Source organism: Homo sapiens, chromosome 9 (assembly GCF_000001405.40).
Source record: "Homo sapiens chromosome 9, GRCh38.p14 Primary Assembly".
In the NCBI taxonomy this organism is placed as follows: domain Eukaryota; kingdom Metazoa; phylum Chordata; class Mammalia; order Primates; family Hominidae; genus Homo; species Homo sapiens.
In genome coordinates this window covers 129,293,958-129,312,870 of record NC_000009.12, presented here as the reverse complement: position 1 = coordinate 129,312,870, position 18,913 = coordinate 129,293,958, and the positions used below count along the sequence as shown (strand labels likewise).

The following is an 18,913-nucleotide window of genomic DNA, read 5'->3' as shown; positions in this document are numbered from 1 at the left end:
GACCTCCCCAGGGGGCCTCCCCGCTCTCAGCTGGAGACCCCAGTCAAGAGGGTCCCTCTGTCTCTTGTTATAGCACAGGCTGCAGTGCAGACCCATTCTTTCTCTCTCTCCCTCTCTCTCTCTCTCTCTCTCTCATCAGCTGTTTGTTTGGTCTTTGGGGCTCCCACCCTTCATTTTTGAGGCAATAAACACTCAGGATGGAGTTTGGAAGGCACAGAGACCTCACACTGTGGTGTAATTGATCGGTCCCCGTAGCTCCATCCCCTCCAGCAGCAGGGCTTCTCACTGGCTGCATGGGGGGCAGGATGGGGCTGGGCCCACCATGGCTCTGCAGATCTCGGGTTGCTCGGCTGCTGCCCCTGTGGATCCATCGCAGCTGTCACTTGGTGGCTTCGTCCTCCCAGCCCTCTGAGATGTGCTGTCATCACCACCCCACTTTTCAGATGAGGAAATCGAGGCTCAGGGGTGTCGGGGAATTTGTCCAAGGTCTTCCATCTGTCTGGGCTCAGCATTGGCACTTTTCAGGGCCCCCACTGTTCTTCGAGTGTCTTTGGGGGCCCCCTTCGATCCCTCACCGCGTGCACAGTGCAGCCACGTTCTGCCCAAAACCTCACAATGCTACGAGAGGAAACAAGAGGCTGCCTTGAGCAATGCCAGCTCAATGTATGGGGCAGACCCGGAGGCTAAACAGTGTTTCTACCTTAACTGTGATCCCAGAGACTTCCATAAACCGGGTTTGCTTAAAGCAAGGAAAGCAGGGATTAACTGAGTCTGGGCAGTTTCCCTGGAGTTCAGTTGTGCAAAATGACATTTACATTCTCCTAGGGGAGTGAGGACCACAGGCTGTGGGGAAGGGAGCCCCCCCAGACCCCAGAAAAGGCAGCTGGGGAGCCACAGGTAAAGCAGAGAGCCCCCCGACCCCCCGCCCCACCCACCAACAGCAGCCACAGCAGCAGCATCCACAGGAAGATGTTCCAGGCCATAGAAATCCTTGCAGGTGACATAGAAGCCTGTGGGTCCCGCCTACACTTTCTGAGCACTTCCCCCAATGGGAGGATTCACCTGTCATTACCTTACTCACCCCGGCCCTCCCTGGGCATGGCTGCAGTGGCTCTGTCCCATGCTCTGTTACCTAAGACACATCTTGGGACACAAGACACAAAGGAGATAGAATTTCACTGCAAAGCAAGAAATTCCTCAAGGTCTCTCATTCATTCATTCATTTGTTATTTATTTATTTATTTGAGACAGAGTTTCACTCTTGTTGCCCAGGCTGGAGTGCAATGGTGCAATCTCGGTTCACTGCAACCTCTGCCTCCCAGGTTCAAGTGATTCTCCTGCTTCAGCCTCTTGAGTAGTTGGGATTAGAGGCATGTGCCACCACGCCAGGTTAATTTTGTATTTTTAGTAGAGACGGGGTTTCTCCATGTTGGTCAGGCTGGTCTCGACCTCCCGACCTCAGGTGATCCTCCTGCCTCGGCATCCCAAAGTGTTGGGATTACAGGCATTAGCCACTGCACCTGGTCTATTTATTTATTTATTCATCTATTTCATCCACTCCCCTGAAGCTTTTAATTGTTATATTCTTTCTCGTCAGTGCCTAAAGGGTTGGGCACAGCCACCACTCCTCCCCAAATCTCCAAAACCATCACCAACCCTCCCTTGGCCCCGAAAGACACTGGGGCTGGGCTGATGGAATGAAACAAATCACCTGCCTTTACACCTTCCATGAGCATGCAGATCCCCCAGCCTCAGTCGAGCTTTCAGATGACTGCAGCCCCTGACTGCACTCTCAGAAGAGACTCGGAACCAGAACCACTCAGCTAAGCTGCTTCTAAATTTCTCACCCACAGAAACAATGAGATAATAAATGTTTCCTGCTATTTAAAGCTTCTATGTTTGGGGATTATTTGTTATGTAGCAGTAGATGAACACAGTGATGGGTGTGTGTGTGAGAGAGAGGGACTTGTAAACAAATGAATGGAGTGCTAGCAGGCATGTGAGGGATTGGCCAGGGATGGATTCCTGAGAGCCGAGTGAGGTATTCCCAGTAGAAGTGTCCTTGGAGACCAGCAGGAGAGACAGGCAGTGAAATAATGATTCACAAACCATTTCATTCATCCAAGAAACAACTGTGCACTTGCTGTGGACTCGACACTATACCAGGTACAGGGGACTACAGCGTGGAAAGATAGGCTCAGGACCAGCTGTGATCAAGTTCTTTTCTTTTTGACAGAGTTTCACTCTTTTGCCCAGGCTGGAGTGCAGTGGCAGAATCTTGGCTCACTGCAACCTCTGTCCCCGGGATCAAGCAATTCTCCTGCCTCAGCCTCCCAAGTAGCTGGGATTATAGGCACCCATCACCACGCCCGGCTAATATTTTTTGTATTTTTAGTAGAGACGGGGTTTTGCCATGCTGGCCAGGTTGGTCTCAAACTCCTGGCCTCAGGCGATCCACCCCCATCAGCCTCCCAAAGTGCTAGGATTACAGGCATGAGCTACCGCACCTGGCCTGTGATAAGGTTCTAATTGCAAGGAAAGAGCAAGGTTACAGAGAAACATGTCATTCCAGATGGGATGAGCACCACAAGAGAAGACCTGGAAGAAGGCCTTGCTGAAGGCCACACAAACAAAGGCCAAAAGGATCTGTAGAGGTTGGCCAGGTGGCGCTGGGAGTGCAGGTGCAGGGAGACGGCATTCCAGACAGAGGGCAGAGCATGTGCAAAGGCCCCAAGGTGGTGAGAAGCTGATGAGTCAAAAGAACAATCTTAAGAAGGTCAGTGCTGTGGTAACAGAGTGAGCCAAGGAGAGGGAGATGAGGGCTGGTGGGAAGACTAGACACAGGTTTAGTGAGCCAGGCTAAGGCTTTCAGTCCTTATGCCCTGCATAGTGGAGAACCGCTGAAGGTTTTAGCGCAAGGACAGGCGAATGTTTGAATGCCTTCATTGATATCAGTTACAGAATACCTGACTCGAGTGGTTTGAACCATATAGTTTACTCAAGAAGAATTACTGAGCTGGGGGCGGTGGCTCACGCCTGTAATCCTAGCACTTTGGGAGACCAAGGTGGGTGGATAGTTTGAGCCCAGAGTTCAAGATCAGCCTGGGCAACATGGCAAGACCCCATATTATTTATAAAAAAAAAAAAAAGAAAGAAAGAAAGAAGGAAAATTGAGCTGGGCGCGGTGGCTCATGCCTGTAATCCCAGCACTTTGGGAGGCCAAGGCGGGTGGATCACAAGGTCAGGAGATCGAGACCATCCTGGCTAACATGGTGAAACCCCGTCTCTACTAAAAATACAAGAAAAAAACAAAAAAAAAAATTAGCTGCATGTGGTGGCACTCACCTGTACTCCCAGCTACTCGGGAGGCTGAGGCAGGAGAATCGCTTGACCCCAGGAGGCAGAGGTTGCAGTGAGCTGAGATCATGCCACTACACTCTAGCCTGGGCAACAGAGCAAGACTGTCTCTCAAAACAAACAAACAAACAAACAAAATTTCCCAGCCTCCCTTGTGATGAACGGCACCCACATGACCAGGCTCTGGCCAGCAGCACATGAATGGCAATGATGTGTGCCCTGCCCTTTAAAGGAAGACGGTCCTTCCTGGTCTCCCCTTCCTGCCGGCTGGAATGCAGACACAGTGGCAGGAACCAGAGCAGCCACCGTGCATCACGAGGTGGAAGCTGTGTGTTAAGGATGGCAGAGCGGCAAGCCCAGGGGAGTCTGGGTACTGACACTGGGCTGTGGATGTTGGGACTGACTGACTATCTTGTTCAGATCGCTGCTATTTTGGGTTTTGCTACAGCAGCTGAACCGGTATCATAATCCATGGTCATCACGAGGCAACAAACTTGATACCAGTTTTGCCTTCAAGTGACAAAGGTGAACGTCATCGTGAATCCAGCCCACTCCTTGGCTGGAGAGCGGGAGGCAAGTAAAAACAGGTGTAAAGCAACACCGGAGAGTGTTCCCGATGTTCCCAGGGGATTTAGAGAGCGGCGGAGGTGCCGAGAAAAGGAAGAGAGCTGTGTGCCGGGGGCATCCACGCTAAGCCAGCCTGGCACTGGGTAGGACACTCAGATGTGCTCATTTCTACAGGGACGTTGCGGGAGCAGGCACAGTGCTTTTATTTAGTGTGTGTGAGAGAAGCTCTGATTTTCTTTTCTTTTTTCTTTCTTTTTTTGAGACGGAGTCTCACTCTGTCGCCCAAGCTGGAGTGCAGTGGCACGATTCAGCTCACTGCAAGCTCCACTTCCCTGGTTCAAGCAGTTCCCCTGCCTCAGCCTCCCAAGTAGCTGGGATTACAGGTGCACACCACCACGCCTGGCTAATTTTTTTTGTACGTTTAGCAGAGATGGGGTTTCACCACGTTGGCCAGACTGGTCTTGAACTCCTCACCTCAGGCAATCCACCCGCCTTGGCCTCCCAAAGTCCTAGGATTACAAGTGTGAGCCACTGCACCCGGCCGAGAAGCTCTGATTTTCATGTGAAGAGGAAACCTGGGCTCAAACTGCCAGCCCAATGATGGCCAGAAGCCATCATCTCACTATGCAGCCCTGGGTCAAGTCGGTAACCAGTTCTTCTCATGCCTCAGTTTCTCCATCTTGTACATGGGAGTTTATACATATGATCGCTTGGACATTTAATTCAATTTTTAAAAAAAGAGATGGGATCTTTCTTTCTTGCTCAGGCTGGAGTACAGTGGTGCAAACACAGCTCACTGCATCCTCGACCTCCTAGGCTCAAGAGATCCTCCTGCCTCAGCCTCCTGAGTAGCTGGGACTACAGGTGTGCACCACCACACCCAGCTATTTTTTTTTTTTTTTTTTGGTAGAGAAGGGGGTCTCACTATGTTGCCTAGGCTGGTCTCAAACTCCTGAGCTCAAGCAATCCTCCTGCCTCGGCCTCCCAACGTGCTGGAAGTAGAGGCATGAGACACTGCACCCAGCCATTTGCACATTTTAATACAATTAAACTCTACCTACGTACAGGCAGTGTACAAGCAGCCCACCAGGACTGTGCAATAGGATTTTACCACTATTGTCAGGCTGTCTCCTACCATAAACAAAAGGCTTCTCCTTTAGAGATGAGTGCAAATATTGTCAAGCTCATTGCCCAATTACTCTATGTGCAAACAGACACCCCAACAGCCGCCTCTCTCCCAGGCAAAGAGGAGCTCAGAATTATTGTTCCATTACCTTCTCACGCATCATGGATAATCTGCTTAGGTAGTAGGTGTATTGTTTAAGTCAGTTTCCTGTCACTGCTCTAACAGATTACCACAAACCTGGTGGCTCAAAACAACCCAAATTTATTATCTTGTAACTCTGGGAGTTGTAAGTCTGAAATGAGTCTCCCTGGGCTGAAATCAAGGTGTCGGCAGGACTGCATTCCTTCTGGAAGCTCTAGGGGAGAATTCACATCCTTGCCTTTTCAGCTTCTAGAGGCCACCCACGTTCCTTGACTCATGGCTCCTTCCACCAAAGGCATCATTCCAACCTCTGCTTCCTTCACCTCGTCGCCTCCTCTAGCTCTGACCCTCCTCCCCGACCCGTATAAGGACCCTGGTGATTACCTTGGGCCCAACTAGATAATCCACGATCATCCCCCCATCTCAGGATTCCTAACTTAATCACACGTGCAGAATTCCTTTGGCCACATGAAGTAGCACACTCACAGCTTCCAGGGATCAGAACGTGGACGTCTTTGGGGGCCATTACTCTGTGCACCACCATCAGTGTCCTCCCACTTGGAAGAGGACAAAAGTTTTCCTGTGTTTTGCTCATTCATGTGTCCCAAGAACCTACAGCAGGGTTGGCTCAAAAAAATATTTGGTAATTCATGAATACGTGAATGAGAGTGGCCCAAATATCACAAGCAAATCTTTTTTTTTCTTTCTATTTTTGAGACAGGGTCTCGCTTTGTCACCCAGGCTGGCGTCCAGTGGCATGATAGCTCACTGTCACCTCAACCTCCCAGGTTCAAGCGATCCTCCCACCTCAGTCTCTCAGATAGCTGGGACTACAGGTGCACACCATCATGCCCAGATAATTTTTTTTTTTTGTCAAGCCAGGGTCTTGCTATGTTGTCCAGGCTGGTCTCGAACTCCTGGGCTCAAGCGATCCTGCCACCTCAGCCTCCCAAAGTGCGGGCCTCATAGGCAAATCTTGTGACTAGAACCAAGAAGCCCTGTTTCCCAGGTCAGTACTGATTGAGGGGAACAGCATTTATCTTTGTACAGAGGAGGTTGGTCCTATGACGATCAGGTTGATCAGAGGACAAAGAGCCGGCTGTGCCTGTGAAGGAGAGCAGGCGTGAGCTACTGCCTGGCTACCCAAGGCAAAGCAATGCAGTGGCAGAGGCAGCGTCCAGGAAGCCTCCGTCTCCAGAATGTGGAGGACTTTGTCTTGTGATTCTGTAAGCAAGTGTGGTCAGACCCAAAGAGCTCTGCCCTAACCCGGTCACAGGGTGGCCGAGCAGAGGCAGCTGAGCACTCTTCATAGTCCTGGTGGCCAAGGTGCTGTTGTGACTGCTGACCTGTGTAATGTTATTCTGAATCTTTGTTTACATTTCAGGGTTTTTTAGGTAAAATTTACATATTCACAAATGCACGATTTACAAATGCACAGATTTCATGTGTACCATTTTATGAGGTTTTACGTATTTTATCAAATGCATACACCTGAAGCCCACACGTTAGCAAAATCAAGAACTTTTCAACATGCCAGAAAGTTACTTTGTGTCTTCCCAGCCAATCCTGCACCGCCACAGGCAATCGGTTTTCTAATTTTTTTCACCATAGATTAGTTTTGCCTGTTCCAGAACTTTGTATAAGTGGAATCACACAATTTGTATCTTTTTGTGTCTGGCTTTTTTCATTCCACATAATGTCTGTGATTCATCTGTGTTGTTGTGTTTATTGATAGTTCATTCTCTCTTTTTTTTTTTTTTTTTTTGATGAATTGTATTCCATAGTATGGATATACCACAATTTGTTTATCTGTTCTTCTGTTAATGGATATTTGGGCAGTTTCCAGTCTGAGGGTATTATAAATAAAGCTGCTACAAACATTTACATAAAAATCTTTTTGCAAACATGTGCACTTATTTCTTTTGGGACCACATCTAGAAGTGGCATTACTGGGTCATAGGGTAGATGTATGTTTTACTTTATAAGACAAGAGTGAAACTTTCTCCGAGGTACTTGTAACATTTTATGTTTCCATCAGTGATTTATGAGAGTTCCAGTTTTTCTACATCCTCATCCACATTTGGTGCCATCGGTCTTTTAAAATTGGAGTCATTCTAGTGCAGGGGTCACAAACCCCCAGGCCACAAACTGGTATAGGTCCATGGCCTGTTAGGAACCGGGCCGCACAGCAGGAGGTGAGTGGCTGATGAGGGGGCATTGCTGCGTGAGCTCCACCTCCGGCCAGATCAGTGGCAGCACTGGATTCTCTCAGAAGCGTGAGCCCTATTGTGAACTGTGCATGCGAGGGATCTAGGTTGCACCCTCCTGATGAGACTTGAACTAATGCCTGTTCTAAGGTGGAACAGTTTCATCCCAAAACCGTCCCAAACCCCCAGCCATAGAAAAATTGGCCATGAAAAAGTTGTCTTCCACAAAACTGGTCCCTGGTGCCAAAAAGGTTGGGGACCATTGTTCTGGTGGGACTGCAGTAGTAGCTCATGGATTTTCATTTGCATTTCCCAGATAACTAATGACGATGAACACTTTCAAATGTGTTCATTGGCCATTCATATGCATTCTTCCGTGACGTGTCTGTTCAAATCTTTCCAGCACATAAACCCTCTTATTATTGAGTTACAGGATTATCTATATAACCTGGATACTAGCCTTTTATCAGATATATGGGTTGCAGTATTTGCCCAAAGTATGTGGTTTCCCTTTTAGTTTTCTTAACAATAAAGACTTTTCATTTTGATGAAGTCAATTTATCAATTTTTTTTTTTGAAACAAAGTCTCACTCTGTCACTCAGGCTGTAGTGCAATGGCACGATCTTGGCTCACTGCAACCTCCGCCTCCCAGGTTCAAGCGATTCTCTTGCCTCAGCCTCCCAAGTAGCTGGGATTACAGGTGCCCGCCACTACGCCTGGCTAATTTTTTTGTATTTTTAGTAGAGATGGGGTTTCATCATGTTGACCAGGCTGGTCTCAAGCTCCTGACCTCGTGATCTACCCACCCCAGCCTCCCGAAGTGCTAGGATTACAGGCATGAGCCACTATACCAGGCCCAATTTATCGATTTTTTAAATGTTTGTTGCTTTTGCTGTCCCATCTAAGACATTCTGGACTGCTCACAGATCGTGAAAGTGTTTCCCTGTGTTTTCTTGTGGAAGTTTCACAGTTTTAGCTTTTACATTTAGACCTACGATCCACCTTGAATTAAATTTATTGTATAATTTGAAGATTCAACATTCATTTTTCTCAATACTGACATCCAGTTGTTCCAGCATCATTTATTCAAAATACTGCTTTTCCCCATAGAACTGTTTTGATGCCTTTGTCAAAAATCAATGTGCTGTATAAATGTGGGCCTACTTCTGGACTCTCTAGTCAATACCATGAATCTAGTCTTTTTTTGGCCTTTGTTCTTTAGTCTTGAAATCAGGTACTGTAAGTTCTTCAACTTACGGCAAGATTTGGAGGGCTAACTTAGGTTCTTCTCTATGAATGTTAGAATGAGATTGACAATTCACGCATTCTCCTTTTTTTTTTTTTTTTTTTTTTTTGAGACGGAGTTTCTCTCTTGTTGCCCAGGCTGGAATGCAATGGTGCAATCTTGGCTCACCACAACCTCCACCTCCAGAGTTTAAGCAATTCTCCTGCTTCAGCCTCCCGAGTAGCTGGGATTACAGGCACGTGCCACCACGCCCAGCTAATTTTGTATTTTTAGTAGAGACGGGGTTTCTCCATGTTGGTCAGGCTGGTCTCGAACTCCCGACCTCAGGTGGCCCACCCACCTCGGCCTCCCAAAGTGCTGGGATTACAGGCGTGAGCCACTGAGCTGGGCCAATTTATGCATTCGCACAATGCTCCCGGGATTATGATAGGTCAATCCAGGGAGAATTGACCTGTTAACTAACTTGGGTCTTCTGACCCACGAGCACACAATTTCTTTCTGTTTATCTTAGGGCTTCTTTCATTTCTCTCTTTTGCTAAGTTTATTACTAAGTATGTTATACTTATAAATGAAATTTTAAAAAACATTTCTGCTTGCTGCCAGTGCACAGATATGTAATTATCAATTATATATAAACATATATATATCTTATATCTTACAATCGTGCTAAATTCATTTATTAAGTTATTGTAGTTGTTTTGCAGATTCCTTAGAATTTTCTACATAGAGAATGATCTCATCTGTAAAGAGAGACAGTTTTACTTCTTTCTTTATGGTCTTCATGCTTTTTATTTCTTTCTCTTTTTTTCCTTTTCTTCTTTCTTTTTTTTTTTCTTTTTGTCTTATTGCACCAGTTAGGACTTTCAGCACAATAATATAGAGAGACTGTGATCCCTGCCATTTTCCTGGTCTTAGGGGGAAAGTGTTTACTATTTCACTATTAAGTATAATATCAGCTGTAGAGTTTTCATCCATGCCGTTTTTATGTTTTGTTTTTGTATATTTGTTTGTTTGTTTGTTTGAGATAGAGTCTCGCTCTGTTGCCCAGACTAGAGTGCAGTGGTGGGATCTCAGCTCACTGCAACCTCTGTTTCCAGGGTCCAAGCGATTCTCCTGCCTCAGCCTCCCGAGTAGCTGGTATTACAGGCACCCACCACCACACCCAGCGAATTTTTGTATTTTTAGTAGAGATGGGGTTTCACTGTGTTAAACTAGGCTGGTCTTGAACTCCTGACCTCAGGTGACCCACCTGCCTCAGCCTCCCAAAGTGCTGGGATTACAGGCGTGAGCCACCGTGTGCAGCCCACATGTCCTTTTTTAGATTGAGAAAGGTCTCTTCCATTTCTAGTTGGTGAGAGAGAGAGAGAGAGAGAGTGTGTGTGTGTGTGTGTGTGTGTGTGTATACACATTGAATAAGCATTGAGTTTTATTTAAACATTTTTGTGTTTTCAACGATCATATGGTTTCTCTCCTTTATTTTGTGAATACTGTGTATTACACTGATTAAATTTTTAACATTAAACCAATATTACATTGCTGAGACAAAACTCAGTTGGTCTTAGTGTATTATCCTTATAATATATTGCTAGATTAAATTTGCTAGTATTTTCTTAGGAATGCTTGCATCTATGTTCTTGTGGGATATTGTTCTGTAGTTTTATTGTGATGTGTTTGTCAGGTTTGGGCGGTAGGGTTATGCTGACCTCACAAAACAAGTGGGAAGGTTTCCTCTTTCTCCTTTTTCTGTAAGAGTTTCTGATGTATTATTTTTTCTTAAATGTTTAATAGAAGTCACCAGTGAAACCACTGGATATAGAGTTCTCTAATTTAGGATTTTAAATTACTATTTTAATTTTTTTAGAGACACAGAAAGGAGGTTAGAAAAAAATATTTTAAGAAGTCATGGACAGAAATTTCCTATATTTTCTGAAAGAACTTCTGAATCAAGGAGTTCAGCTAACCCCAAGCAGGATAAGTAAGAAGAAAGCCACACCTAGACAAAACTGCTGAGAACTAAAACTATCTGGAAAGTAGCCAGAAAAAAAGTGACATATTCAGTCCAAACAGTGACTTGAAATATCACTGACTTTTCATCAGAAATTATGGAGGTGACCAGAAAGTGGAACATCAAAGCGCTGAAAGAAAAAAATGCTTTCAACTCTGGCTCCAGACAAGATGGAGTGGACGTGCTTCTCCCTAGTCCTCTCACTAAATGCAGCTGAAAACCGGCTAAAAACAAACCCACAATGATTCTGAAAGGTAGAAAGAAGAAGGCAAACTGCGTAGGACCTTAAGATTCCTGGGTTTTCTTTTTTGTTTTTTTGTTTTTGTTTTTGTTTTATTATACTTTAAGTTTTAGGGTACATGTGCACAAGGTGCAGGTTAGTTACATATGTATACATGTGCCATGTTGGTGTGCTGCACCCATCAACTCGTCATTTAACATTAGGTATAGCTCCTAATGCTATCCCTCCCTCCTCCCCTCACCCCACAACAGGCCCCAGAGTGTGATGGTCGCCTTCCTGTGTCCATGTGTTCTCATTGTTCAATTCCTATCTATGAGTGAGAACATGCGGTGTTTGGTTTTTTTTCCTTGCGATAGTTTGCTGAGAATGATGGTTTTCTTTTTTGCCTCATGTAACCCTGGATATAGCGAGGCTAGAGAATCCAGCAGCCCCAAAAAAGCAGCAAGTGCAGACCTCCTCACAAAAAAAAAAAGCTCTCAAGAAAAGCCTCCCCTCTCTAGCCAAAATACCAGGAAAGGGGCTGCCTAGCAAGACAGAACTTTTAGACAATAACCACCCCAAACTAGCCAAACATGGTAAGAAAACTGTGGCCCCACTCCACCTCTGTCGACAAAGGTAGAATGGGGAGCCTAGACCTCTACCCTCTGGAGGCTGTAACCAAGTCCACCTTCTCCCTGCCAGGACTTCCATCCCCACCAGTCAGTCCTGTGATGTCAGCAGAGACCACAGAGAAAGCCTGGACTCATACTCCCACCCAGTGATAATGAAGCACCTCTTCCTCTCCTCATTGAAGTGGAATCAGAGGAAGCCTAGTGAAGAGCCAGGGCTTTTACCACTTCTCAGCAGTAATGTCCTTCCCACCTTCCACAGTATCAGTGGAGACCACAAGGGGAGCATAATGAGAGGTCCCTCCCCATCCCAAGCAGGGCAGTGTCAGTGGAGTGGGGAGCCGAAACTTCCACCCCAACCAGCAGTAACAAGGCACCTTTTCCTCACTCGGTGTCAGCAGAGACTGAATGGGAACTTGGGCTTTCATCCCTGCCTGGCAGTGATGAGATAGTGCTTTTCTTCCCACACCAATGTGGTATCAAAGGAGATAGGCTAAAACAGAAGATTTCAATAATATCCACAGTCTCAGAACATCATACCCAAAATGTGCAGAACACAATTGAAAATCATTAATCATAGGCCAGGCACGGTGGCTCATGCCTGTAATCCCAGCACTTTGGGAGGCCAAGGCAGGTGGTCATGAGTTTGAGACCAGCCTGGCCAACATGGTGAAATCGTGTCTCTACTAAAAATACAAAAAAAAAAAAAAATTAGCCGGGTGTAGTGGAGGGTGCCTGTAATCCCAGCTGCTCAGGAGGCTGAGGCAAGAGAATCACTTGAACCCAAGAGGCAGAGGTTGCAGTGAGCCGAGATGGTGCCACTGTACTCCAGCCTGGGTGATGGAGTGAGACTCTGTCAGAAAGAAAGAAAGAAAGAGAGAGAGAGAGGGAGGGAGGGAGGGGAAGAAGAAAGGAAGGAAGGGAGGGAGGGAAGGAGGGAGGGAGGGAGGGAAGGAAGGAAGGAAGGAAGGAAGGAAGGAAGGAAGGAAGGAAAGAAAGAAAGAGAAAATAACTTTTGTGCCAATAGATTTCCAGAAGGAAAGGAGAGTGAGAATGTGACTAAAAAAGGATTAGAAGAAATAATGAATGAAAACTTCCTAAATTTGGCAAAAGATACAATCCTGTAGTTTCAAGAAACTGAGAAAACCAGAAATAAGATAAATCCAAAGAAAATTATAAAAAGATACATCACAAAACTAAAGAAAACAATCTTGAAAGCAGGGAGGAAGAAACTATACCTTTCAAAATGGGGAAAACAATTTGAATGACAGGAGGTTTCTCATAAGAAACCATGGTGCCCAGAAGTAAGTGGGTGCAGCAGTTTTCAAATCCTGAAATGAAAGAACTGTCAACCCAGAATTTTGTATCCAGTGAAAATATTCTTCAAGAATGAAGGAAAAGTCTAGGCATTCTCAGATGAACTAAACCTAAGATAATTTGTCACCAGCAGGCCTACCCTTAAAAATGGGCTGAAGGAAGTTCTTGAAACCAAAAGTAAATAATAAAAGGAGAAATCTTGGAACATTTGGAAGGAAGAACAATAAAAAGAGTAAAAAAATGTGCAAAATCAATAGACTTTCCTCCTCCTTTTGGGTTTTATAAATTATGTTTGATGATTGAAGCAAAAATTATAATAGTGTCTGATATGGTTCTCAATAAGTAGAGAAAATATTTAAGGCAATTATATCACATACAAGGGAGGGTAAAGAGACTGAAATGAAGATGAGATTTCTATACTCACTCAAACTGATAAAATATCAATACTAGTACACTATAATAAATTCTGTGTGTATAAGCCAGGCATAGTGGTTCATGCCTGTAATCCTAGCACTTTGGGAGGCCAAGGAGGGAGGATTGTTTTAGGCCAGAAGTACAAGACCAGCTTGGATAACATAGCAAGACCGTGTCTCTAAAAAAAAAAGGTGAAAAATTAGCTGGGTGTGGTGGTATGCAGCTGTAGTCCCAGCTACTTGGGAGACTGAGGTGAGAGGATTATATAAGCCGAGGAGTTTGAGGCCACAGTGAGCTAGGATCACACCACTTACCTCAGCCTGGGCAACAGAGCAAGACTCTAAAATAAATAAATAAAAACTTACGTGTGTATAGTGCAATACCTAAAGCAAACACTAAAAATATTATACAAAGAGATATACTAGAGCTAAATAAAAATGGAAATCTAAGAAATGTTTACGTAATCTACAGGAAGGCAGGGGAGAAAAGAGAAACTGAAAACAGAGGGAACAAACATAAAACAAAAAATAAAATGGCAGACTTAAGCCCTAACACATCAATAGTTACATTAAATGCAAATGGCCTCAATACACCAATTAAAATACAGATATTGGCAGAGTGGATTTTTTTAGTGGCCCAAATATAACTCTTTGTGAAAAATTCACTTCAAATATAACATTATAGGTTGATTTTAAGTAAAAGGATGAAATAAGATATGCCATGCAAAAATTAACCAAAAGAAAACAGAAGTGGCTATATTAATATTTGATAAAGTTGGCTTCAGAGCAAAGAAAATTACCAAAGAAGGATATCACATACTGATAGAAGGGGCAACACATTAAGAAGACATAGTACTTCTAATGTATATATATGTATCAAACAACAGAACTTCAAATTACATGAAGAAAAAACTGATGGAATGGAAAAAGCTGATGGATGAAAGGAGAAATAGACAAATCTATAATTATAGTTGAAGACAACACCCCTCTCTCAACAACTGATAGAACAACTAGACAGATAATCAGCAGAAATATAGATGAATTTAACACCACCAACCAAACTAATCTAGTCAGCATTTACAGAACACTATCCAACAACAGAATATACATTCTCTTCAAGTGCTCACAGAACATTTACTAAAATAGGCCATGTTCTGCACTAAAACAAATCTCAACACATTTAAAAGAATTGAAATCTCCCTGGGATGCAAGGCTGGTTCAACATACGCAAATCAATAAACGTAATCCATCACATAAACAGAAGCAAGGACAAAAACCACATGATTATCTCAACAGATGCAGAAAACGCCTTCATCAAAATTCTACAGCCCTTCATGCTAAAAACTCTCAATAAACTAGGTATCGATGGAACGTGTCTCAAAACAATAAGAGCTATTTATGACAAACCCACAGCCAATATCATACTGAATGGGCAAAAACTGGAAGCATTCCCTTTGAAAACCGGCACAAGACAAGGATGCCCTCTCTCACCACTCCTATTCAACATAGTATTGGAAGTTTTGGCCAAGGCAATCAGGCAAGAGAAAGAAATAAAGGGTACTCAAATGGGAAGAGAGGAAGTCAAATTGTCTCTGTTTGCAGATGACATGATTGTATATTTAGAAAACCCCGTTGTCTCAGCCCAAAATCGCCTTAAGCTGATAAGCAACTTCAGCAAAGTCTCAGCATACAAAATCAATGTGCAAAAATCACAAACATTCCTATACACCAATAACAGACAAACAGAGATCCAAATCATGAGTGAACTCCCATTCACGATTGCTACTAAGAGAATAAAACACCTAGGAATACAACTTACAAGGGATGTGTAGGACCTCTTCAAGGAGAACTACAAACCCCTGCTCAAGGAAATAAGAGAGGACAAAAACAAATGGAAAAACATTCCTTGTTCATGGATAGGAAGAATCAATATCGTGAAAATGGCCATACTGCCCAAAGTAATTTATAGATTCAATGCTATCCCCATCAAGCTACCACTGACTTTCTTCATGGAATTGGAAAAACTACTTTAAACTTCATATGGAACCAAAAAAGAACCCACATAGCCAAGACAATCCTGGGCAAGAAGAACAAAGCCGGAGGCATCACGCTACCTGACTTCAAATTATACTACAAGGCTACAGTAACCAAAACAGCATGGTACTGGTACCAAAACAGAGATATAGACCAATGAAACAGAACAGAGGCCTCAGAAATAACACCACACATCTACCACCATCTGATCTTTGACAAATCTGACACACACAAGCAATGGGGAAAAGATTCCCTATTTAATAAATGGTGTTGGGAAAACTGGCTAGCCATACGCAGAAAACTGAAACTGGACCCCTTCATTACACCTTATACAAAAATCAACTCAAGATGGATCAAAGACTTAAACGTAAGACCTAGGACCATGAAAATCCTAGAAGAAAACCTGGGCAATACCATTCAGAACATAGGCATGGGCAAAGACTTCATGTCTAAAACACCAAAAGCAATGGCAACAAAAGTCAAAATTGACAAATGGGATCTAATTAAACTAAAGAGCTTCTACACAGCAAAAGAAACTATCATCAGAGTGAATAGGCAACCTACAGAATGGGAGAAAAATTTTGCAATCTATCCATCTGACAAAGGGCTAATATCCAGAATCTACAAAGAACTTAAACAAATTTACAAGAAAAAAACAAACAACCCCATCAAAAAAATGAGCAAAGGATACCAACAGACATTTCTCAAAAGAAGACATTTATGCAGCCAACAGAAATAAGAAAAAATGCTCATCATCACTGCTAATTAGAGAAATGCAAATCAAAGCCACAATGAGATACCATCTCACACCAGTTAGAATGGCAACCATTAAAAAGTCAGGAAACAACAGGTGCTGGAGAGGTTGTGGAAAAATAGGAACACTTTTACACTGTTGGTGGGAGTGTAAATTAGTTCAGTCATTGTGGAAGACAGTGTGGCAATTCCTCAAGGATCCAGAACTAGAAATACCATTTGACCCAGCAATCCCATTACTGGGCATATACCCAAAGGATTACAAATCATTCTATGATAAAGACACATGCACACGTATGTTTATTGTGGCACTATTCACAGTAGCAAAGACTTGGAACCAACCCAAATGCCCATCAATGATAGACTGGATTAAGAAAACGTGGCACATATACACCATGGAATACTATGCAGCCATAAAAAAGGATGAGTTCATGTCCTTTGCAGGGACATGGATGAAGCTGGAAACCATCATTCTCAGCAAACTATCACAAGATCAGAAAACCAAATGCCGCATGTTCTCACTCACAAGTGGGAGCTGAACAATGAGAACACATGGACACAGGTAGGGGAACATCACACACCAGGGCCTGTGGGGGGTGGGGAGCTAGGGGAGGGATAACATTAGGAGAATAAACAATGTAGGTGATGGGTTGATGGGTGCAGCAAACCACCATGGCACGTGTATACCTATGTAACAAAATTGCATGTTCTGCACATGTAACCCAGAACTTACAGTATAATAAAAAAAAAAAAGGAAAAGAATTGAAATCATGCAGAGTGTATTCTCTGACCATAATAGAATTGAAGTAGAAGCCAAAGTAGATAATGGGAAAGTAACAGGATCATCTCTAAACTGTTGAAAACTAAAGAATATGCTTCTAAATAATTTATGAGTCAAAGAAGTCTCTAAGGAAATTGAAAAAAAAAAAACACATGGAACTGAATGAACACAAAAACACAACATATCAAATGTTATGGGATGAAGCCAAAGCAGCACTCAGAGGAAAATTTGTAGCACTACATGTTTATATTAGAAATAGAGAAAATCTAAGTCATTTCTCCAACCTCCCACCTTAAGAAAATGAAAAAAAGAGCAAAATAAAACCAAAATGAACAGAAGGAAATAAGTATAAGAGCAAAAATCAGTAAAATTTAAATAAGAAATAATAGAAAAAAATCAATGAAACAAAGGGCTGGTTCTTTAAAAAGATCAATAAAATTGAGAAGCCACTAGCAAGACTGACAAAGAAAAAAGAAGAGAAAGACACAAATTACCAATATCAGGAATTGAGCAGGGGACAGCTCTATAGACCCTAAAGACTTCAGGAAGATATAATAAGGGGATATTATGGAAACTCTACACATAAAATTGACAACTTAGATAAAATGGGCAATTCCTTAAAAAGCACAAACTATTACCACTTACCCACTGTGAAATAAATCACATGAATACTTTTAAAGAAATTGAATTTGTGAAAAAAGAAGGGGACACTTCCCAACTCATTTTATGAGAGCTATATTACCCTGGTATCAAAACCAAAAACAGCTCAAAAAAAGAGAAAACCACAAACCAATATACCCAATGAATATAGATGCCAAAATCCTTAAGAAAATATTGGCAAACAGAATTCAGCAATATATAAAAAGAATTTGGGTGGGGTACTGTGGCTCATGCCTATAAGCCCAGCACTTTGGGAGACTGAGAGGGTGGATCGCTTGAGCCCAGGAGTTTGAGACAAGCCTGAGCAACATGGCAAAATTCTGTCTCTACAAAAAAATACAACACTTAGCTGGGTGTGGTGGCATGTGCTTGTAGTCTGAGCAACTCAGGAGGCTGAGATGGGAGGATCAATTGAGCCCAGGAGGTTGAGGCTGCAATGACCCATGATCAAACCACTGCACTCCAGCCTGGGCAACAGAACAATATCCTGTCTTAAAAAAAAAAAGAATTCTACATTGTGACCAAGTGGGGTTTATTCTAGGGGTGTAGAATGGTTTGATATTTGAAAATCAATCAATATAATCCACCAGGTAACAGGTTAAAGAACAAAAATCGTATGCTCATATTAATTGATGCAGAGAAAACATCTAATGAAATTTAATAGCCATTCATGAAAACATTCTAAGAAAACTAGGAACCGAGGGGAGCTTCCTCCACTTGATAAAGAATATCTACCACCTGCCACAAAAAATTTGGTCATTAACATTATATTGAATGGTGAAAGGCCAAAAGCCTTCTTCCTAAGATTGGAAACAAGGTAAAGAGGTCCGCTCTCACAATCTAAGTTTAATGCTGGAAATCCTAGCCAGAGCAGTAAGGCAAGAAAAGGAAATAAAAGGCAAACAGGTCAGAAACGAAGAAGTAAGAAGTCCCATGGCCAGGTGCGGTGGCTCACACCTGTAATCCCAGCACTTTGAGAGGCTGAAGTGGGTGGATCACTTGAGATCAGGAGTTTGAGATCAGCCTGGCCAACATGGTGAAACCCTGTCTCTACTAAAAATACAAAAATTAGCTGAGCATGGTGGCACATACCTGTAATCCCAGCTACTCCGGAGGCTGAGACAGGAGAATCTCTTGAACCTGGGAGGCAGAGGTTGCAGTGAGCCGAGATCACGCCATTGCACGCCAGCCTGAGCAACAAGAATGAAACCCTGTCTTAAAAAAAAAATACACTTATCATATAACCCAGCAATCATGCTCCTGGGCATTTACCCCAAAGAAAGGAAAAGTTACATCCACATGTGTTAGAACCAAAAAACTGGAAGACAACCAAAATGCCCTTCAGTAGGTAAACGGTTAAACAAACTGCAGAATGTTACTCAGCAATAAAAAGGAACACACTTGGGAGGCCTAGGCAGGCAGATCACGAGGTCAGGAGATCGAGACCATCCTGGCT

General features: G+C 43.4%; 1 long non-coding RNA gene across 1 annotated transcript; it reads right to left on the bottom strand.

The window, feature by feature from the left end:
- Positions 1-200: 200 nt before the first annotated feature.
- LOC107987133 (uncharacterized) lies at positions 201-18,590 on the bottom strand. The gene is made up of 3 exons (XR_001746956.1): positions 18,550-18,590; positions 1,073-1,143; positions 201-618 (listed from the first exon to the last, which is right to left on the bottom strand). It is a non-coding gene; the product is annotated as an uncharacterized LOC107987133 (long non-coding RNA).
- Positions 18,591-18,913: the final 323 nt, after the last annotated feature.